General features: G+C 40.0%; 1 long non-coding RNA gene across 2 annotated transcripts; it reads left to right on the plus strand.

Moving 5' to 3' along the window:
- Positions 1-927: 927 nt before the first annotated feature.
- On the plus strand, positions 928-23,540 carry LOC102723536 (uncharacterized). Of its 2 annotated transcripts, none has more exons than NR_188595.1 (4): positions 928-1,053; positions 4,995-5,198; positions 6,832-7,058; positions 23,386-23,540. It is a non-coding gene; the product is annotated as an uncharacterized LOC102723536 (long non-coding RNA). The 2 variants fall into 2 exon arrangements; NR_188594.1 differs by lacking the exon at positions 23,386-23,540 and adding an exon at positions 17,087-17,223.
- The last annotated feature ends 844 nt before the right edge of the window (positions 23,541-24,384 follow it).

Raw genomic sequence — 24,384 nt, forward strand, 5'->3', positions numbered from 1 at the left:
TAGGTTTTGACCGGTTAACCTGATTAATATGTATTGCCACGAGGCCTCTGTCGCTATCCAAGGTGCTGGCCACCTTACCTTGGTGGTTCCAGCCAACCTTCCTTACCAGGGCTAGAGTGTGATCCTCTCTCTGCTCCCAGTGCTGTGATGCTATCTGCTCATTTAACCTCTATATTACTAGGGTCTGCTACACCACAGGCTGCTGATATTAAGCTTATGCGTTAATACAAGGCCTCAGTTGCTTATTTGCACCTCTGGGGTCAGTATCTGCAGCCAGATCGAGTTTCTCTGTCCCAGTTCTGACCTGGAAGGTAAGCCCTCTGACCCATTTCAGCCAAGGCACTCTCTCTTTCTGCTTCTTATGTAAACTACATGCCAATCCTCACACCTGTCTCCACTTGGTTTGAGACATGATCCCAATTCTCACTCCTGAGAATGTCTAAGAAATAGTTACACAATTCTTTTTCTACTGGAGGAGGTCCTTTGCATGGGAGAAAGTTCAGGTTAAAAGCACATAATTTATTAATATATTTCCTCAGACCTAAGTTTATACCCTAGCTTTATTAATGACTAAATATGCAAACTTGGGCAAGCTACTAATGCCTCCGAATCTTAGCTTCCTCATCTCTAACATGGGAATAATAATACATGCCTCATAGTGTTATTAATAAAATGGAAGCTAATGTGTTTAAAATCACTTAGTTCATAAGCTTTTATTGTTTTTTTAAAAGGTATTAATAAATAACAGTACAGCAGTAGTCTCATCCATTGTCCTAGTCTGAGCTGGCCTATCTCTCTCATTGTGGAACATTTCCTACCTTCTCCTACTCTCTCCTGACAGCTGCTTTTGCTGCTAATAAATCCTGCCTGTGATATCACAATGCATTGTAGCAGCTGGCTCAGAGTCAAGACATCAACACATGAATCAGACAGGATGAGAGGAGGATAAGGCTAAAGACAGAGGCTCCAGCTACCTTGGTGACAAGGAATGGAGGAGAAAAGGAACAGGAAATTTTAATAAGATTAGGAGGGCTTGCTTTTCTGCCAAGTGAGGTGGGTTTAAACTTCTTCCTGTGTTCACTACCTAGTTTGTCTGAGTTAGGCAATTGCTTGAGGGAGAGGTAGCTAATCAGGAATTTGGCAACCAAGAGGAAAAACTGCAAAATAAATCGACCATCTGATGTTCAGGAAGAAGAAGGAAGGAAAGAAGGAGGGAGGGAGAGTGAACAAAAGGAGGGAAGGAGAAAAAGAAGCACCATTCCCCTTCCTGACATGCCTGCCTTGGACACATTTCCAGCATGGTAGAAATAGGCTTCCCAAGACTCACACAATTAAGAATTAGTTTTCTAAAATTTGATGTCCATAAGAGTAAGTTCAATTCCACGGTGGCACCCAAGTCCATTCAAAATATTCCTTCTGAACTTTCCCTCTCCATCTCTGGGCACCCCATCTCCATGTGTACATAGAAAGATGTAGTAACAGGCCAGGCATGGTGGCTCACACCTGTAATCCCAGCACTTTGGGAGGCTGAGATGCGCAGATCACTTGAGGTCAGGAGATCAAGGTCAGCCTGGTCAACATGGTGAAACCCTGTCTCTACTAAAACTACAAAAATTAGCCTGGTGTCCTGGCGCACACCTGTAATCCTAGCTACTCAGGAAACTGAGGCAGGAGAATCTCTTAAACCTGGAGGCAGAAGTTGCAGTGAGCTGAGATTATGCCACAGCACTCCAGCCTGGGTGACAGAGAGAGACTCTGTCTTAAAAAAAAAAAAAATAAAAAAAGATGTAGTAACAAAGTTTAAGTGTTTACTCAGTGTCAGGTTCTATATCTGCATTCTTTCATTTAGTCTTCTCAGCAACCCTGGAGAATGTCCCATTATTATCCTTATTTTCTTTACAATAAAACTGAGGCTTAGCAATATTACATTATTTTCTACAGTCACAGATTTAGCGTGATGTTGAGCCCCACAGCCTGATAACAGAGAGTATAATGATGATTATTGCGTCAATAAATTTTTTTTTTGAGATGGAGACTCACTCTGTCACCCCGGCTGCAGTGCAGTGGTGTGATCTCAGCTCACTGCAACCCCTGCCTCCCAGGTTCTAGTGAGTCTCCTGCCTCAGCCTCCCGAGCAGCTGGGACTACAGGTGCGTACCACTGTGCCCAGCTATTGTGTGTGTGTGTGTGTGTGTGTATTTTTAGTAGAGACAGGGTTTCAACATGTTAGCCAGGATGGTCTCGATCTCTTGACCTCGTGAACCGCCCACCTCAGCCTCCCAAAGTGTTGGGATTACAGGCGTGAGCCACCGCGCCCGGCCCAGTAAATTTTTTTTAAAAGAACAATACTTTATATGTGAATGTATGTATATGTTGCTTAGTATGTATCAGCCTCTGCCCAAGACACCAGGGATACAGTGGTGAACAGAGGTAGAGAGGTAGAGAGCACAGAGGTAGAGAGGTCATACAGCTCTTCAAGATGGAACAAGTAGCAAGCAGTAGAATGGGGATCCCAACCCTAGTCTTCAACTTTCAATTTTATTTTTCTATTACACTCAGCTGTTCTCCAATTCCCACGTCTTCATATTCAAAGACGCTATTAACCTACCCCATCACCACCACCTGGGGCCTGCAAAGCAAAGCAAACGGAGTTAGCATCTTTGTAAATACGAATTGTCTGAGTCGGAACTCATCGGACCCAGGGAAATGCCATTCCCTGTTTTTCAAAGAGAGTAGAAATGCTATTGATCTCCCAGAGAAAACATGAGGCTCAGAATATAAGCACTGAAGAGCTGGTTCTCGCGCCATGTGATCCGGCCAGGATGATTTCCCTTCATAGATCCTCATCGGTAGATTGAGAAGGATGGACGAGCTGGTTCCCAGGTTCCCTTAGCCTTTGTGGGAAGAAATGTGTTTGCAGTAGTTCCCTAAAACTATTAGTTCAAAACTCTTCAAGACAGGGAGTTTAATGAAAAGTTAGGGGGACAAAAGTTTGACTAACGGAAGCACAGTCTTTTAAATTCCTCTTACTCTGCCAATCTTTTGCTGATCAATATGCTGGATCACACTCTAAGGCGTAATTGGCTGCAAGATTCTCCTAAGGGCTTTAAAATTCAGAGCCCACTGGGAGGCTGAAGCTGGAGGATCACTTAAGGCCAAGAGTTTGAGACCAGCCTAGGCAACAAAGCAAGATTCTGTTTCTACTAATAAGATAAAATTAGCCTGGCAAGGTGGCACACACCTGTAACCCTAACTACTCAGGATGCTGAGGTGGGAGGAGCACTTGAGGCCAAGAGTTTGAGACCACTCTGGGCAGCATAACAAGATGCTTCTCTACTAAAAAATAAGGAATTAGCCGTGCATGGTGGTGCATGCCTGTAGTCCTAGCTACTCAGGAGGCTGAGGCAGGAGGATCACTTGAGCCCAGGATTTCCAGGCTGCAGTGAGCTATGATCATACCATGCACTCCAGCCTGGGCGACAGAGTTAGACCCTGTCTCTAAAATATAAAATAAAATAAGAAAATAAAATAAAATAAAAAAAAATAAAGACATCCAAGCTTTATCAGGAGAGAATACACATAGGTAATTGTGTTGGTGAATTTCTGGGGCTTCATTCAATAGAAATTCTTCTACGACAACAGTCATCCTTAGCTTTCTCTTCTCCAGAGTCTAGGTGCAGGGTAGGAGTTAAAAGCTTGAATTCACACATCAGTCAGGAAAGATCTGCGTAAAACTGTCATCCCTTAATTTCTCTTAGCCTGTTTCTAAGGGGATATTTCTATGAGGATAATTATAGTACTTCCCTCTTTGGGTATAGTCAAACCAGTTTATGTAAGTATAGCTTAGCCCATAGCAGAAAGGTAATGAGATGTTCAACTGATCAATAATGAAGTCTACAGGGTAATAGATGTCCCTGAGCTCCTCAGAATATTGTCATACTGACTTAGATAGTTCATTACCACATTCCAGTATTAACATGCTGTCTTAATTGCAGAGAGGCCCTGTTACTAATAACAATATTTAGCAATTTTTTTTCTTTTTTGAGATGGAGTCTTGCTCTGTTCCCCAGCCTGGAGTACGGTGGTGCCATCTCGGCTCACTGCAACCTCTGCCTCCCGGGTTCAAGCAACTCTCCTGTCTCAGTACCCTGAGTAGCTGGGATTACAGGTGTGCACCATCATGCCTGACTATTTTTAGTAGAAACGGGGTCTCACCATCTTGGCCAGGCTGGTCTCCAACTCCTGACTCCAAGTGATCCATCCACCTCGGCCTCCCAAAGTGCTTGGGTAACAGAGGTGAACCACCATGCCCGACCTATTTAGCACTTTCTAACTGGACAGAGAAAGAGAGAGAGAGAGAGAGAGAGAGAGAAATGGAGGTGGGAGAAGGAGGATTTTGCAGTGTGCTTGGCTGGAAAGCCAGCTAGGCAGTAAGAATGAAATGAGCCATCAGTTTCCACAAGAACTGTTGGTAATGACTCCTTCTTCCCTCCCTTCTGGCTGGCTGTCCATTTTGTTGAGGGCTGGGTTGTTTATATGAGAAAAATTCTGGTCCTGTGTTAGAAGGCATGCTTGCTGCTAAAGACAGGTGCTGATAGAACAGTGCAGAGGGCATGATGCTTATGAATGGAGTCACAAAATATCCCACTCCACTAACCCTGCCCCACACACCAGCATCAGCTGCTTGATTGCTTATAAGCTCACAGTTCTAGCAGAGATCAGAAACTTGGAGGAGATGTCAGTGGCTCTGAGAACCAACTCACATTACTTATTTATTTCCCCCCAACCATTGTTGAAGAGTATTTAGCAAGTATATTTCCTGAAGGTGGTTCTTTTTGTAAGAAACCCCAACGGTGATTTAATTAAGCCTACATAAATGCTAAGTGGGATTCAAACAGAATGGGATTTGCTGATTTGTCTGTGTTGAAATAAATTCCTTGTTCTGTTCTAATTGAATAGATTGAACACAGACTGTATTTGTTCTTATCCTGCAGCCGCTTTCACAGGAGCGATAAATTGGAAATGTTATCTGGCTTGATATGCCAGTTTTTCTGAGAAAATCACTCTGCCAGTGGTGACAGAATGGAAGAGCTGAAAACATCTTCTTTTTTCAAAGTCATATGTCACGAACCAAGGAGACTCCAAAAAATAAATTATGGAAGATTATGACCACTGCTGCCAAGGATACAGTGAAATAGGTACATCTTGTATGCCCAGTAATGTTGAAAATTAATATAACCTTATTTAAAAAGCAATTTGGAGATGTTGAAAGAAAGCCTGAAGATTACCACCATGCTTCATGATTCTATCCAGGTGTCCCACATATGAGAGCCAATTCCAAAGAAATAACTACAACTTGGAAAAAACTATATGCATAAAGATGTTCATTATGGTGTTAGCTATAGCAGCAAAACAAAAAAAAAAAACACAGAAAATGTTTGCAAGAATTCCCAAATAGAAAATTATTAAGTCAGCTATGACATTTTCCCAGTAGGATATTCTGCAGCACTTAATATGAAAGTCACTAAGTTTACATGGAAAAATACCTGAAGCATAATCTTAAGTTAAAATAAATCTAAATATACTTATATGCTATAGTTGCACTTTTTAAAAAATATGACAGACAGCATGAAATATCCAGAATAGGCAAATTCATAGAGACCAAAAGACAGGCATAGTGGTTGCCACAGGCTGGAGGAAGAAAAGAATGTGGAGTGACTGCTAATGCATAAAATGGGTTTCCTTTTGGGGTGATAAAAATGTTCCAGAACAAGATATGGGTGATGGTTGCACAACATTGTAATAATATAATAATGTAATAATGCCACTACGTTGTACACATTAAAGTGGTTAAAATGGTACATTTTATGTTATGTGTATTTACCACATTTAAAAAAATAAAATGACAAAGGATGAAAAATGAAAGTACCTAAAAATTGGACAGCATTTGTTTTAGGAGGATGGGATTATGGGTGGATTTTCTAAGTTTTTGAAATTTTCTGTAATCTTGGTATTAGAGAAAGGCAGAATCAGACAGTATTAGAATGCAGCCAAGAAGCCTCGGGGCTGTGATTTCCCTAAACCCCATGCCTTTCTCCAACTACTGTAGACCTGGATATCCAAACCTGGAAACTGAGGCAAAGCCACTGCAAAGGACTGGACTTATGAGAGAAACAGCAGGGAGCGGGGGAAGAGGGGTAGTTAATGAGTACAAAAATACAGCTAGACAGAATGAATAAGGTTTAGTATCTGATAGTACAACAGGGTAATTACAGTCAATAATAATTTATTGTACATTTTAAAAATATAACTGAAAGAGTATAGTTTGTAACACAAAGAAATGATAAATGTTTGAGGTGATGGATACCAAATTGACCCTGATGTGTTTATTACACATTGTATGCCTGTATCAAAATATTCCATGTGTCCATACATACATATACCTACTATGTACCCATAGAAATTAAAAATTTATAAAGTATAACAAAAGAAAGAGGGGGGGAATAAACTAAGAAATTCAGTGTATAGAAAATTTTCAGTGCTTCAGAATTGCCTGCATTCCTCTTCACAATCGTTATTCACTTTCTCCTCCTCACAGTGTACCATCATAATCCATTATAATACAGTACCATGGTGTAGTTTTGTCTGTTTTTGAACTTTATATAAATGGAACCATATAAAGGGTCTTCTTTGTGTTTAGCTTCTTCCACGAAAAACTATAGAGTTATCTATATTATCACACATATCAATAGTTCATTTCTATTATATCATAATACATTCATAATACCATATGAATGAACCAGAGAAATGACCTGCTTTATGTTTTTAAAGAGTTTGTGGCATCTGGTTTTAACTCCAATATGTAAAGAGCTTGGAAGCCATCTTTCCTTCCACCACAACAAGAAAACAGCTGAACTGAAAATCAATGACTTTTCTTAGATCCATTAAAGAATTGAGATTGCAGGACACACTACCACCCTGAAAACTGGAGAGAGGAAAAATACAGAGAGGAAGCAGATCAGCTTACCTGAAGCAGAGGCCGCTGGAATCTGTGACAGGTAGGAACATTTAAACCGTACCTTTGATGACTTACTGGAAGCTGAGTGTGGACCAGATTGAGAGCCTGGTTTGAGGGAGGTCTCCACGCTTCTGTGTGTTTTATCTCCAGGAGTCCCACTAGGTTCCCACAATGAAGATCAGAGAAAAACAGTGAAAAAATCCCTCACGTTTGTTCAAGGGAAGAGAAAGTAGCCATTCTGATGTAAGCCCACAGGTTTGTCCATAACAAAGATCTACCCAGGAAGGGAAAATACTTTACTAGTTTCTTCTCCCAAATGAAGAAAAAGAAATACCCAACTCCAGCTCCCTGTAGCCTTCCTGTCCCACTAAACAGAAGATATAAAGCTTAGAGGCATCTTAGAGGTAACAGACTCCCTAAAAGACTAAAGCTTAATCATAGGATTACAGAACACCTCACCTTTTCCCACATCTTACTGCATTATAGAGCTCCTGTATAATAATAGTGGATTACAGCTAAAAGAGCTATAAGATTTAGTTTTATTTAAGAAGGAGTTTCTAGGGAAACCCAGAGACAACCAGGGAGACAAAAACAAGTGTCATTAAAGTAAATGTGAGCCTCTGACTCCTACAGCTGTATAAAATGGTAAACACAACCTAACTCCTAGCCTGATAAACAGAAAACTTCAGTAAATGCATATCCACCTTTGTTGTCATTATCCAAATATGTCATGTTCAGTTTCCAACATAAAACTACAAAACGTGCTCAAAGACAAATAAAAACACAGTCTGAAAAGAAAAAACAAGCATCCAGACCAGACTTAGATATGGAAGAGATTTGGGAATTATCAAGCCAGGTATTTAAAATAACTACATATATGCTAGGGGCTGTAATGGAAAAAGTAGACAACATGTAGGATTAGATGGATAATGTAAGCAAATAGATGAAAAATATAAGAAAGAATTAAAATGAAATGATAGAAATCAAAATAATCACATCACAAAGAAATAAATTGTGATGGCCTCATCAGTTAGTTGAAGAAAGAATCAGTGAGCTGGATGTATTGTCAATAAAAAATTTTCTCAACTGAAATGCAAAAAAAGATAAACAAGCCGGGCACAGTGGCTCACACCTGTAATAAACAGGCCAGGCATGGTGGCTCCACTTTGAGAGGCTGAGACAGGCAGATCACTTGAGGTCAGGAGTTTGAGACCAGCCTGGCCAACATGGTGAAACCCCGTCTCTACTATAAATACAAAAATAAGCTGGGCATTGTGGTGTGTGCCTGTAGTCCCAGCCACTCGGGAGGCTGAGGCAGGAGAATCACTTGAACCTGGGAGGTGGAGGCTTCAGTGAGCCAAGTTCATGCCACTGTACTCCAACCTGGACAGCAGAGTGAGACTCTAAAATCAATGAATCAATCAATCAATCAATCAATCAATCAATAATAGAATATCCAGGAACTGTGAGACAATTTTAAAAGGTATAATGCATACAAAGTTGGAAAACCAGAAGGAAGAAAGTAGCAGAAAAATTGTTTGAAGTAATAGTGATGGGAAATTTTCCAAAATTAATGACAGAAACTAAACCACAGGCATAGTAATCTCAGAGAACAACAACCATCATTATCAAAATATCTATCTAGGCATACCATATTTAAATTGAAGAAAACTAAAGACAAACAGACAGGCTTAAAAGAAGCGAGAGGGAAAAATCAACCACCTTCTCTACAGAGAAACAAGAATAAGAATTGCAACAGATTTGTCATCAGAAACTACGCAAGCAAGGAGAGAGTGGAATAAGATCTTCAGGGTTGAAAAAAATAAAACTCCACCAACATAGACATTTGCATCAAGCAAATTTTTTTCTCAAAAGTAAAGGAGCAGATATTCTCAGACAAGCAAAAACTGAGGAAATTTGTTGTGAGCAGACTTGCTTACAAGAAATGTTAAAAGAAGGCCAGGTGCAGTGGCTCATGCCGGTAATCCCAGAATTTTGGGAGGATGAGGCAGGGAGATCACTTGAGGTCAAGAGTTCCAGATCAGCCTGGCCAACATGGTGAAACCCTGTCTCTACTAAAAATACAAAAATCAGCTGGGCTTGGTGGTGCACACCCATAATTCCAGCTACCTGGGAAGCTGAGGCACACGAATTGCCTGAACCCAGGAGGCAGAGGTTGCAGTGAGCTGAGATCATGCCACTGCAATCCAGCCTGGGCAGCAGAGTGAGACCCTGTCTCAAAAGAAAGGAGGAAGGAAGGAGGGAAGAAGGGAAGGAGGGAAGGAGGAAAGGAGGGAAGAAGGGAAGAAAGGAAGGAAGGAAGGAAGGAAAGAAGGAAGGAAGAAAAGAAGGAAGGAAGGAAGGAAAAAAGTTCTCCAGAGAAAAGAAAAATGATATAGGTCGGAAACTCAGATCTACATAAAGAAAGGAAGAATAATAGAGAAATAATCAGTGAAAGGTAAATGAAATCTTTTATTTTTGTAATTTCTAATTGATCTAAAAAGATAGCTGTTCAAAGTAATAATAGCAACAATATATTGGTTGAGTATAGCAGATGAAATGAACAGGCTGGTATTATAAGAGATAAGAGGGATGAATTGGAAATACTGTGGTATAAGGTACCTTCACTACCTATGAAGTAGAGAGGTATTATTTAAAAGCATAATTAGATTATTTTAAAATGTGTATTACACTCAAAAGCAGCCACTATTTTTATCAATATATAATAATTGTACATTTTTGGGTGGCAGATGTGATATTTTGGTACCTGTAACATTGTACAACATGTACCCTGATACCATGTACCCTAATACAAATCAGGGTAATTATATTATCCATCACCTCAAACATGTATCTTTTCTTTGTGATGGGAACATTATAGCTTTTTCTCTTCTAGCTATTTTGAAATATACAATTATTGTTTACTATAATTTCCCTACTGTACTATTTAACACCAGAACATATTCCTTCTATCTAATTGTATTTTTGTACCTGTTAACTTTTTACCTCCCACACCCCATCCTCCACCACATATAATTGATATGCTAAGAGAAGAGGGAACATGGAGTTATATCAAGTGTTCTATTAAAACCAGCAAAGGCAGAAAAAGAGGGGAGGATAAGAAAGAAAGAGCAAGTGCAATGAAAAGAGAAAGAGCAAGTGCAATGAATAGAAAAAGCTACAAACATGATAGATATTAATCCAGGTATATCAATAATAAACTTAAATGTGAACAGTTTAAATATACTAGTTAAAAGACAGAGACTGTCACATTGGATTATTTTTAAAACAAAGCCAAGATTTATCTATGTGTTCTCTATAAGAACCCCATTTTAAATATAAATACACAGATAGATTAAAAATAAATGCATGGAAAAAGATATACTATTCTAACACATTAACACTAATCAAAAGAAACCTGGAGGATCTATATTAATTTCAATCAAAGCAGACTTTAGAGCAAATAAAATTGTCAGAAGTAAAGAGGAGCATGGCATAATGATAAAGGAACAAATTCTCCAAGAAGAAATAACAATCTTTAAGGTGTATACAACTAACTACAGAGCATCAAATTACATGAGGCAAAAATAGATAGAACTGAAAGGAGAAATAGATAAATCCACTATTAAAACCGGTGACTCCAACACCCATCTATCAGTAATTGACAAATCTATCACACAAACATCAGTGAGGATGCAGCTGAACTGAACAACACCATCAGTAACTGAATCTAATTAATATATGTAGAGTACTCCATCCAGTACAGCAGGATGCATTCTTCTCAAGCTCATATAGAAAATTCACCAAGTAGACTACATTCTGGGTTGTATAATACACCTTAACAAGTTTGAGAGTGTGCTGTCAAATAACAATGGAATTAAATTAGAAATCATTAACAGAAAGACAGCTCAAAAAATCCCCACATACTTGAAGATTAAATAACACACTTCTAAATTATACATGGGTCAGAGAAGAAGTCTCAAGATAAATTTTTAAAAATATTTTAAACTAAACAAAATGGTAATATTAAAATATTAGGACACAGTGAAACAGTGCTTAGAAAGAAATACAGAGCATTGAATATGTATTTTAGAAAAGAAAAAAAAGGATCAAAATCAATAATTTAAGCTTCTACCTTGGGAAACTACATAAAGAAGAACAAAATAAACCTAAAGCAAACAGCAGGAAATAATAATAAAAATTAAAACAGAAAATGGTAAGATTGAAAACTGGATGTTAATAGAGAAAATCAGTTCAACCAAAATCAGTTTTTTTAGAAAAAATCAATGAAATTCATAAACCTCTCATCAAGCTAACCAAGAAAAAATGGAAAAGACACAAATTACTAACATCAGAAATGAAAGAGGGAACACCATGATTGAGCCCATGGGCATTTAAAGGAGAATAAAGAAAATTATGAATACCTCCATGACTCCAAATTTGATAACTTAGATAAAATTGAAGTGGGGTATTTCCCTGACCCCTTCACAGGACATGCAAAGGGGTGCCTTGTTGACTCAGCCTGCAGTACTCAACTCCTTGTGAGAGGGACCATGCAAGCAAACGAGGCAGGAAGTGGAGTGTGTGGTCACTGGAACTAGACGGCTGCTTTGGTGCCAGCAGAGGCAAACTCCACTCACTTGGACCTGCTGGGCTTCCCCCTTTGTGGGAAGGAGCACACAGGTGAGCAGGAGCAGGAGCCAGGGCAAGCAAGCACTTTTGGGAGCTGGCAGGAGTGAACTCCACACAGGGCCCCATAGCAGCATCTGGCAGAGAGGTGCCCATATCCCCAGAAACCCCAGAAAAAGTCTTACAGTGCTCTTTTAGCTCTGTTGACTGCAGATGGCTTAAATGTTACCAGCTCAGTATACTCTCTGCCTTTTCTCATGAGGCAGCTGCCTTCCATCAGTGAGGGCAAAGTGTCAGTGTGACAGCCTTTTGCATCTAGACTTGTGGTAGCTGAGCTCTTGTCTGAAATCTAGGAGAAATGAAGTCACACAAATGAATCGAAGGTTAGTAAATGTGGGGAATTTTATTGCCAATGAAATTGACTCTCAGTGGGAAGGGGAGCTGAAAAGGGGACGTGATGGAAAAGTAATCTTTCTTGAAGTCCGGCTGTCTCCAGCCAGATTCTTCTCTGAAGTTATGTAATCAAGCTGTCCCTCTGAAGTCAAGCTGCTTCTCTCTGATGTACAACCAGAGTCTCCAATGTCCAACTGCTTCTCTCTGCCAGCTGGGTCTGGGGTTTTTATAGGCACAGGATTGGGAGCAGTGTGGGCCATGGGTGGTTTTGGAAAAGGCGATATTCAAGCGGGAAAACAGGGATGTAAGTTCTCACTTTGGGCTGTGGTTTCAGGTTTTTGGGCTTGAGGGTGGGGCCCTTGCTGGGGACCCTCCCTCTTCTACCTAGAATTTCCCTGCCTTCTGTCCATATCAAAATCAATCAATTCCTTGAAAGACACAAGCTACCAAAGCTCACACAAAGAGGAACAGATAATCTAAAGGGGTCTATATCTATTAAATACAATTTTTTTTGGTTAAAAATCTTCCTAAAAAGAAAAAATCCAGGCACAGATAATTCCATTGCTTAATTCTACCAAACATCTAGGGAAGAAATGATACCAATTTTGTACAATGTGTTCAAGAAGATAGAAGCAGAGGGAAGACTTTCTAACTCATTCTATGAAACCAGCATTATGTTAAGACCAAAACCAGATAAAGACATTATTTTAAAAAATCTATACACCCACGTCATAGATGTAAAACTCCTCAACAATATCTTAGAAAACAGAATACAAAATATATAAAAAAATATAAAATATACATAAATATATATATAAATATATAAAAATAATTATACACCTCAAGTAGGGTTTATTCTAGGCTTGCAAGGCTGGTTCAACATTAAAAATCAATTAATGTAATCAATCATATCAACAGGTTAAAGAATAAAAATTGTATGATTATATTAATAGATGTAGAAAAAGTATTTGACAAAACCTAACATCCATTCAAAATACAAACTCTCAGAAAACTAGGAAAACAGGAACATTTCCAAACTTCCTCAACTTGATAAAATTATCTACAAAAAACTCCAGCTAACTTCATACATAATGGTGAGAAACTTGATACTTTCACCTCAAGATCAGAAATAAGGAAATAATGTCTCCTCTTGCCATTCCTTCTCAACACTATCTCAGAACTTGTAGCTAATGGAATACCATAAGAAAAGAAAATAAGAGGTATACAGATGGGAAGGAAGAAATAAATTATCTTTGTTTGCAGATTATATTATTGCCTATGTAGAAAATCCCAAAGAACTGGACAAAAAAATCCAGAACTAATAAATTATTATGGCAAAATCAAAGAATGTAAGGTCATTATACAAACATCAATTTGCCCCCAATATGGTAGCAATGAACAACTGAAGTTTGAAATTAAAAGTAAGATATAATTTGCATCAGCACCAAAAAAAGATCTCACAAAATGTGTGTAGGATCTATATGAGAAAAACTATAAAACTCTGATGGATGACATCAAAGATCATTTAAATAAAGAGGTGTTCATTTTCCTTGATAGAAAGACTTGATATAGTTAAGATATCAATTCCTCACAACTTTACAATCTGTAGACTCAGCACAATTACTACCAAAATATCACCAAGTTATTTTGTGAATATTGACAATTTGATTCTAAAGTTTATATAGAAAGGCAAAAGAAACAACTATATAACTCAAGACTGAAGAATAAAAAAGTCAGAGAACTAATGCTATCGGATATTAAGACTTACCACAAAATGACAACAATCATGTTAACAAGGTATTGGTGAAAGAATAGATGAATGATAAATGGAAGAGAATAGAGTACCCAGATGTAGACCCACACAAATATAGCCAACTAATCTTTGACAAATGAGCAACAATAAGACAATGGAGAAAGGATAGTCTTTTCAAGAAATGGTACTGAAACTTCTGGACTTTGGTATGCAAAAAAAAGAGAATCTTTTATAAAAATTAGCTCAAAATAGATGTTACACATAAATTGCAAAATTACAAAACTTCTATAAGGTAATGTAGGAGAAACCTGAGGTGACCTTGGGTTTGGTGGTGAGTTTTTAGATTCAACATCAAAAGCACACTCAGTAACAGAAACACAATACAAGTCATGTATCTGTTAAAGAACTTTTATCCAAAATGTACAAAGAACTCTTAAAACTCAACAGTAAGAAAACAAATAACCTGATTAAAAATGAACAAAAGATTTGAAAGACACCTGAAAAACATATACAGAGAGCAAATAAGCACACAAAAAGATGCTCAGTCCCATATGTCATTAGGTAACCACAAATTAAGACAAAAGTGATAGTACTACACACCTGTTAGAATGGCTAAAACCAAAAAAAAAAAAAAAAAAAAAAAAACTCACAACACCAAATGCTGGCAAGGGTGCAGAGAAACAACACTTACTTGCTGCTGGTGGGATGCTAAATGGTGCAGCCATTTTGGAAGACAGCTTGCAGCTTCTTGCAAAGCTAAGCATAGCCTCACTATATGAGTGTAGCAATCACGCTCCTAGCTATTTACCACAAAGAGTTGAAATTTATGCATGCACAAAAACCTGCAATGTGAACGTTTACGGCAGCTTTATTTGTAATGGCCAAAGTCTGGAAACAACCAAGATGCTCTTCAATAGGTGAATGAATAATCTTTAGTATATCCATACAATGGACTATTATTCAATGGCTAAAATGAAATGAGCTATCAACCCACAAAGAGACATGGAGGAACCTTAAATGTATTTCGCTTAGTGAAGAAACCAGTCTGGAAAGCCTACACACCATATGATTCTAATTAGATGACATTTTGGAAAAGACATTACTATAGACAGGGAAACAATCAGTGCTTGCTGGGGGCTTGGTGGAAGGGCACGTGCATGACTCCTGTAGTGACAACTCCTGCTGAAAGCAGGCTCACAGGCAAAAATTACAAAATAAATTATATTAAAGACTACATAAATACTGGGAGAATTTACTACCAAAGGGAGGGAAAAGATGAATAGAGGAAGCATTAGAGATTTTCTGCGTGGTGAAACTATTCTGCATAATACCATAAGGGTGGATGCACGTCATTATTCATTTGTCAAAACCCATAGAACCAGACAACATAAAGAAAGGAACATCATGTAAACGAAGGACTCTAGTTAATAGTAATGTATAAAATTGTAACAAATATGCCACACTAATGCAAGATGTTAATAATAGGAGAAATGGTATGCTAGAGGTAGAGAGTAGGGGTGGGGTGCATATATGGAAGTCTGTATTATCTGCTCAATATTTCTGTACATCTAAAACTGTACTAAAACTGAAGCCCATTTAAAAAATAAAAAATAAAATTAGCTGAGTGCAAATGATGGTTTAAGCACAGCAGTTAAAAAAATTAAAACAACAACAACAACAACAAAAAACAAAGGTGGGGGGCTGGGCACGGTGGCTCATGCTTATAATCCCAGCACTTTGGGAGGCTGGGGTGGGCAGATCACCAGAGGTCAGGAGTTCGAGGCCAGCCTGACCAACATGGAGAAACCTGTCTCTACAAAAAAAAAAAAATACAAAAATACAAAAATTAGCTGGGCGTGGTGGTGCATACCTGTAACCTCAGCTACTTGGGAGGCTGAGGCAGGAAAATCACTTGAACCCAGGAGGCAGAAGTTGCAGTGAGCCCAGAACCCACCATTGCACTCCAGCCTGGGCAACAAGAGCAAAACTCCGTCTCAAAAACACACGAACAAGAAAAAGGAATTCTATTAATTTTTTTGTAAAGCTTGCCACAGCTGCCAAAGTAATCTATACCTTATTCCTGATAAGGGATGCCATTGGTAGGTAGGGGTGAAAATATCTTAGAAATGCAACCTTCCTTCTAATTCATTAATATTTCTTTTCAGAGGTTTTACGGGTGCTTTAGCTGTCTTTTTGTGTCTTTTTTCACCTGGTGACAAAGAGCTGCAATTTTCCTACCTATCAATTTGGCAGTCTGTGTGACATTTGATGGAACAACTTATGGAGTATGGTGGTGCTTATATTTCTATAGTCAGTCTTCCTGGGTTCAGTTTCAGCCCCATGACTTAACAAGCCTATGAGTCTGAGTTTTAACAAATAGCATAGAGGAAATGTTAATATTTACCTCAAAGATTGTTGTAAGGATTAAATAAACTAATCTCTGGTTCCCATTAGATGTGTTCAATAGATGTGAGCTGTTATTTTTATTATTTATATAAGTCTTACCCAATGCTTACATCAAATAGGGGAAAGATGAAAGATTCCAGCTCAAATTATTTCTGGACTATCAAAGTGCATAAAAGCAAAACTAAGATAGGATGCTTAGAAGCTGTGGAAACACAGCCGAGAGGAAAAAAAAAGGAGAGAAATACAGGTCAGGATAGCTTGAAATCTCCTCTGCCCTTGATCTGGGCATCCAATATAGCTCACCCCAAATCCCTTTAATAATCCCCTTCTGTAAACTTGACCCTAACCTTGTGCTCTCCTGGGCAGGAAATAGTGATAAAGTCTGAGGTTTTACCTCTAAGGTTCTCGGTGACCCCTGGCCTGAGCCTCCACCTCTTGAACCTGAAATCACGAAGGGTCAAGACCCTGATTATTTCTTGTGCTCTCTCCCTCTCTCTCGGTGTTTATATTTTGCTCCACATGCCTGGGGCCCATCAAAGGGAGAGGAACATGTTCAGAAAATAAATAGCATTGCTGTCTTATGCTTTGCTTGCTAGAAGCTGTTTATATAATATAATCTGGTTTCTTCACTTTGGGGAACTTAAGGCACAGAAATTGCTTTCCCTCAAGTCTTAATATCATAGGACTCAAAAGAGACCCAAAAGAACTTCATGGGACCATGGTTCCCTCCACAGACATGTTGCCAAATAGTTTCTTTCCCTTCATGTTTGAAAGTTGCTTCTTCAATCAACATGCCAAAAACATCTTCAGAAGCACTGATACTCTGTTGCCTCGGGCTGCGACATGTGGCTTATGCTAAATTCTTTTCTCTCTCTCATCCTTGCTAGGCTGCATTTGTAACCAAGCCGTGGTCCTTTTCATTGCATCTTGCCAGAATGAAGAAGAGCTGATCTCTCCAGTTCCTGTTATTCCCCTTACATTGCCCACATTTATTGCTCAATAAACCACAGAAATCCTTCTGTAACCCTCGTTCTTCTCCTCTCTTCCCCCTTTCACTATTGAATTTAAAACTCATGCATTAGGCATGTGCTTTGTGATATTTGTGTCACCTCTCTAAACTGTAGTGCAAAAAAGAGGAAGAAAAGGCATCTGCTCAAATTGACATTTCCATCTCGGCTCACTCATTTGAGAGTGACAGGCTATAATTTGCCAACAGGTTCACATCCAAATGCATAGGTTAGTGCTGACATCAGGTGATTTTTCCACCATTGCCATCTCCAGCTCATGCATGCTACACAGGAGGCCACGCTTAAGTCAGCAGATATTGCAGGGAAAAGGAAGAGAAAAAAAGGAGAAAGCTCTTGATTTCCCTAAGCCTCTTAATGCACCAAACACAATGATATACTTAGGTCTATTTGGTGGAGCAGGTGGGTGGGTCAGAGCATGCATTGGAATGCTGTGTGGGTTGAGAAAACTGGGTTTTCTCTTATGTGCACTCAATCTGTGCAAACACACTTACCCTTTGACTCTGTGAGTAAACAGACTTTTTAGCCAGGAAAACCAGGATCAATTCCTGGCTCTGAAGACCAAGACCGAGGTGAGAGAGGAAACATAGTTCCCTCCTGCTTCCAGTGGTCTTTCCCTATCCAGTTACGTGCCTCCACCAGCCACAACAAGGTCCACTTGCTATTAGACTGGTGCAATGAATGGCAAAAAACACAATTACTTTTGCACCAACCTAGTAACTTGTACATTGTCTGGCCAAGAAGAGAACGTGTTTATTACTTTCTTTTTCTTTCTGTTTCTTTTCTCCCTATTGCTTCTTTCATCCTCCTCCTTCCTTCTGGATTCAATTTTCTTCTTGCTGGGTTATAGCCTTTAGAGGTTCTCTCAGCAAGCATCTCTTTGGTAGTAAATTCTCCTAGTCTTTTCATGGTCTTTAATAGAATTTTTTGGGGTAATTTTTGCCTGTGTGCTTGCTTTCAGCAGGAGTTGGTATTAACAGCAGTCGTGCACGTGCCTAGGTTTAGGAGGACTCCTATTGTCTGGTTTTATGGTTGTCTCTGCAGAGGTTCCTCACTTCCTGGCTAGCTTTTACATTAATTCCGTGGCTCGAAGTTTCTACCCCGTGTCAGGAGGTACAACTCAGGCTCATCTACTACATACACCTCATGCAGTTCCAGGGTTCTAATATTTTATGAGTCACTACTTTCCATCAGCGATTCAGGCAGACATTCACTTCTGGGCTCTGTCCCAGAGCTGGAAGGGAAGTTTCTCCTCCCTGTTTACAGACTCAGCATGTGTTTCCTGGTGCCTTACTTTACCCAGGAATCTTCATTCCTTCTTGTAGCCTTATAAGGGGCCACAGACTTGAAGACAGTTTCTTTCCAAGAACATTACAACCCCAGCCCCAGAGGGTCAAATTCTGTTCTTTACTGAGCCTGGGAAGCCTCTTATCATCTCTAGATTACCTGAGGGGCACCCTTTTTAACTTTGACCTCAGATTCTATTTTATTGAATTAAAATTGTTTATTTAGTAACTTTACACTTTACAGCATAGAGAAGGTTTTGCATAAAGTTTTGTTTTGCCTTATTGACCAGGAGTCCTGCACTCACTTTTCTGCCCCTGTTTTTTCGACTTTCATGTATCCCTTTGAAGCTTGGGACAACATCCAGGTTTGCAATTGTGCCATCTATGGACTACCTTACCAGTCAAGACTTCAGCTAGTGATGGGCTTTTAAGCCCTTACTGCATTGACGTTATGAAGTCAGAGACCCAAAGACATTTTGAGCAACACTTGTTTGGGGAACCAAGATCTCTGTGCAGGTTCACAAGCGCATGGTTAAGCTCTGACCTTTACCAAGTCTGGTTCTGCTTCCATGGGAAGCTACTCAAAAATGAGAGAAAAGGAAATGAGATGAGGCGGCTGCACATGGAAAAGAACGTCCAGCATTTTGGGGCTGACCATGGATAGCATGCGTTCTATCCCTGCTGTAGTACATTGTTTCCTGCTCAATCCAATGCCTCTCTTTCTTTAAAGACAAGAAATGTGTTTATGTCATCATTGTCTTTGGCAACCAAAAGAGTGAGTCAGTCTTCACAGTCCAGAGTGGAAAGAAAGCAATAATCAGATATCAGAACTAGGGAATAATATCTTAGCAGCCAACCTAAGGAAAAAAAATGTTTGATTAGAGACACCTTAATGACCAGGGAATATATGGTTACCATCTTTGCCTCATACCAACTTGCTTGGTCCACTTGAATGTTTAGCAAATATTGCTTTGAAAAAACTTCCTGGTTCAGGTGACATTATAAGATAAGCACCACATAAATCCAGGATGGACAAGGAAAGAGGCTTCTGAAAAGAGGATGGGACTTGGCAAATAGAATATAGCTCCTGTCTCTGAGAGGTACCCCATCTGGTAGCAGAGGGTCAAACAAAACAGTTTCAAAGCCTGTTTTCCCTACAGCAGCCTGTAGCATCCAAGATTTTTGGAAGAGAAAGGACATTTCTTCTGGACGTTAGCTTTCTTGTCTTTCCCCCAGGCATCTCTTAGAGTAGGGAGGGAGCTCTTCTATTTGTTGACTGCTTAATCTCTGCCAGGCAGGAGTTCTATCTATTTTTAACACATTTGACAGAGTGATCTTTTAAAAGTAAAATTAGATCATTCTATTCTCCTTTAAAAACTATTCAAGGGGTATTTTCTTTGCATTCAGAGAGATCCAATTTTTTATCCTCACGTACGTGATGTGATCACTGTTTTCTCACCTGTTTTGTAACTTATAGCAGCTCCCTCTGCTCAATACAGTTCAGCCTCTTTCTGTTTCTTGATGTCTTCCAGCTCATTTCACCCCAGGGCCTTGGTGCCTGCTGTTCCATTGGTCTGGGGCCCTTTCGTTCTTATATTATCATCTGGTTGGCTCCTTGGAGTCATTGAATCTCAACTCAACTCAAATTTTGTTTACTCGGAGAAGGTGGCCCTGAAGCCCTATCAGGTTAGCCCTTCTTGTCACTAACAACATCAGCCTGTTTTATTTTCTTCATGGCCATCTCCATTATCTGAAATTATGGTCTTCATTTATTTATTTCCCATCTCTCTTCTCTACTGTAATGTAAGCACCACCAGAACAGGGGGTTCTGATGATCTGATTCACCACAGCATCTCCCGTGCCTAGAGCTGTTCTGGTCCTTAGTAAGCCTAGTGGCTGAAAATATGGCCTTTGTAGCCAGTTGACCTGGGTTCACATCCTGGCTAAGCTACGTGACCTTTCTCCTGTTGCCGAACCTCTCCAAGCCCTCACTTATAAAATGGTAATAGTAATCATAATTCTTATCTCATACAATTGTTCTAAGGATTGAAGGAGTGAATGCATTTTTTTTTTTTGAGACAGAGTCTCGCTCTGTAGCCCAGGCTGGAGTGCGCTGGTGCCATCTCAGCTCACTGCAACCTCCACCTCCTGGATCCTGGTTCAAGCAATTCTCCTGCCTCAGCTCCCAAGTAGCTGGGATTATAGGGACACGCCACCATGCCTACCTAATTTTTGTATTTTTAGTAGAGACGGGGTTTCACCATGTTGGCCAGGCTGATCTTGAACTCCTGACTTCGTGATCCGCCCACCTCGGCCTCCCAAAGTGCTGGGATAACAGGTGTGAGCCACTGCACTCAGCCAAAGATGTATTTATTAAGACTCACTTGGACATGCAAAGATGTGTAGGCACCTAGACACTCATCTCTAGGTGAAAATTTCATGATCTTCATACCATGTTTACACACATATATGCTCACATATGGTATACAAACATACACTCTCGTACTTACCCACTTGGTCACATAAACACATACTTCATATATGGATGCATACACTTACTCGTGCTTACTTTCTTATTCACACACAGATATGCTTTACACCTACATAGAGGCTCACATACTGTCAGAGACAGACTTGTGTGACTCCTTGACTTACATTCGTACACATGAAACACCTTCAGCTTAGGCCAGAGGAGTAGTCACGAGCTTTTGCCGCCTCTCATTTCTAAATTCTGGAGACAGGATGAGACCAAAAGGATGTCTTTAAGGGACAGATAGAGGGAATGGATGTGATAATCCATTTTTGAATAGCACCTGGTGCATAGTAAGCACCCAAGAAATATGAGTTATTATCAACGATTATTAATCTGTTGAATGAATGAATGAATCTGGTGTTTTCCCATACGGATTTCATTGACTTCTCATAGCAAACGTGATTCCATCCATGTTATGAGTGATGTTAAGAAAATTGACTGGGTTTTCACAGCAAGAATGACCTGGGTAAGGATTTCATTCCACATCTACCAGACTGTGAATCTCGGTCCCTCTCTTATGATTCCAAGCCCTCTCCCCTCCCCTCTGGTGTCACCCATTTCTGTACTGTGCCTTGGCCCTGTGCTGGGTCAATTTTTCTAAAACCTCTTGCCCTGGTGTCTTCCTAGCTGGTGTCAGCTTGAGGCTTGATCTTGAATTAATTCCCCTTTTGCTGCTGTGTGTGCTGCGGACTCCTCCACTCAGGTCTGCTCATTTCAGCCTCTGTCTCAGCAGTTCCTGATGACCCCCAGCAAGGAACAACAAAAGGGATTTTCGAGGAAGAATACCACATTGATTCTTCCACTGCGTCTTGCTATGGAAATGGAAAGAGTGGTAGTGATTCCCCTGGTCTCATCACCCTGATTGGGTCTACCTTCACTGAATTGTTCTTCCCAGCAAGGTGGCAGAAATGGCCCTAGTGTTTTTTTATAGAGCTGCCTTTTATCTCCACTTAGTGTCAACTTCTGCATTCAAGGTAGAGTGGGAAAAAAACATAAAAGTAAACATTCCTCTGGGAAGAAAAAGGCCCAAGACTTCAAGTCAACATGGTAAACAATGGCATAATTTTTCATCTAACCGGGTTCTAGAATTCGTGAACTTCAATCAGACCCATGTTGCAGCATTTGCTTTGATATGTGCCGTGGAATAATACTTCACACTTCCCTAGGGAATTCAGGGAGGGTGATTATCACATCCATTCCCTCTATCTGTCCCTTAAAGACATCCTTTTGGTCTCATCCTCTCTCCAGAATTTAGAAATGAGAGGCGGCAAAAGCTCTTGACTACTCCTCTGGCCTAAGCTGAAGGTGTTTCATGTGTACGAATGTAAGTCAAGGAGTCACACAAGTCTGTCTCTGACAGTATGTGAGCCTCTATGTAGGTGTAAAGCATATCTGTGTGTGAATAAGAAAGTAAGCACGAGTAAGTGTATGCATCCATATATGAAGTATGTGTTTATGTGACCAAGTGGGTAATTACGAGAGTGTATGTTTGTATACCATATGTGAGCATATATGTGTGTAAACGTGGTATGAAGATCATGAAATTTTCACCTAGAGATGAGTGTCTAGGTGCCTACACATCTTTGCATGTCCAAGTGAGTCTTAATAAATACATCTTTGGCTGAGTGCAGTGGCTCACACCTGTTATCCCAGCACTTTGGGAGGCCGAGGTGGGCGGATCACGAAGTCAGGAGTTCAAGATCAGCCTGGCCAACATGGTGAAACCCCATCTCTACTAAAAATACAAAAATTAGCTAGGCATGGTGGCGTGTTCCTGTAATCCCAGCTACTTGGGAGGCTGAGGCAGGAGAATTGCTTGAACCAGGATCCAGGAGGTGGAGGTTGCAGTGAGCTGAGATGGCACCACCGCACTCCAGCCTGGGCTACAGAGCGAGACTCTGTCTCAAAAAAAAAAAAAAAAAAAAGAAGAAGAAAAATAGAAAAATCATTATATGAGCATGTTTCCCAGTATATGAATATATCTGGGCATGTGTAAGTACTTGCGTATATACACCTTTGAGGTCTGTGCAAGTGTGTGCATGAGTGAAGAGCTAAATGAATGCATTTGTGAAAGTGCATGCTTCTGTGCAGGTGTGAGAATATATGTCTATTTCCCTATAGGCTGTGACTACATGGGTAAACAGAGGTTCGGGTCTGCTGAGGATGGAAGAACAGGCCACACCGTTCTGACTATTTTTCCATGTCACCCTCCTGGGCTGTGGAAACAGAACAGGGCTTTAGAATTAATCTTTTCCAGTAAACTCGACTCTGAAAATAGTTCCGCTGTAAAATTTACCTTGCCTTCTAGAAAGGCCCATCACATCTGTGCTCTTTTCCCATAGGTCCGAGGAAGTTCCTGAGATAACTTTGTGAGTGGTCCACTATTTCTGCATTTCACAGCATTGCTATACTCCAAACTTTGTTCTACTCATTGTTCAACTCAATGCCTTGAACCTGGCATATAATAGATGCTGAATACATGAGTTATAATTGAAAACAATGTTGATTATTCTTTTACAACTAAACTCTAGCCATTTACAGATTTTAAATAAAGTGATCCATAACATTGAATTCTTCCTGAATGTATTATCGAAATGTGAATTATGGATTATGGCATTCATCATTTGCTTCATTCATTATTCACTCAACAAACACTCACTGAGCACCCACTATACTCCAAGCTTGGACTTGGACACTGGAGATGCAACAGTGAACAGATGCATTCCCGTAAGGAAACCAATCAATAGGAAATTATCATACAGAACAACCCGTCCTGAGTGGTCAAAGTAAGAACCATAAGTTGAATCCTCAACGTCGTTTTAGGACAAGAACAAGAAACCCAAGAAACTCTTCATCTTTGCATTTGGGCTAATAAGTTCTTCAGATTCTTCTAAACACGCTCCCCCATCCTGGCTCAGTGGTGCCCATAAGACTCCCTGGGTTTCCTTTCTTTTCTGTTTTCTTGGCTCTTCCCAGCTCTCAGACTGAGCATCTATCATCAGGACATCAGGGAAAGTTCAGCTGATGAGTGGCAGACACTGATGCTGTCCCTTTAGTGGTAGAGGCTTGTTTACCTGCTTTCTGTGGCCAGGTAGGGGGTAAATTAGTGCCCTGTGTTCTTCTCCTGTCAGGCATGGGTGAATGGCTAAGCTCCTTCCTTTTCTGAGGCTGCTGGTCAGGCCCCACTGAGCAGCCACTTGGCACTGCTGAAACCAAAGAGAGAAATAATGAGCCACCATCAGGTTCTCTAGATTCTGAGGTATGTCTGAATATGCTCTGGTGAGGGGTGAGTGAACAGTGACCCAGGGGAAGGGCAGAAGGATCTGAAGCTGTGAGTGCAG

Source organism: Homo sapiens, chromosome 16 (genome assembly GCF_000001405.40).
Source record: "Homo sapiens chromosome 16, GRCh38.p14 Primary Assembly".
Taxonomy (NCBI): Eukaryota; Metazoa; Chordata; class Mammalia; order Primates; family Hominidae; genus Homo; species Homo sapiens.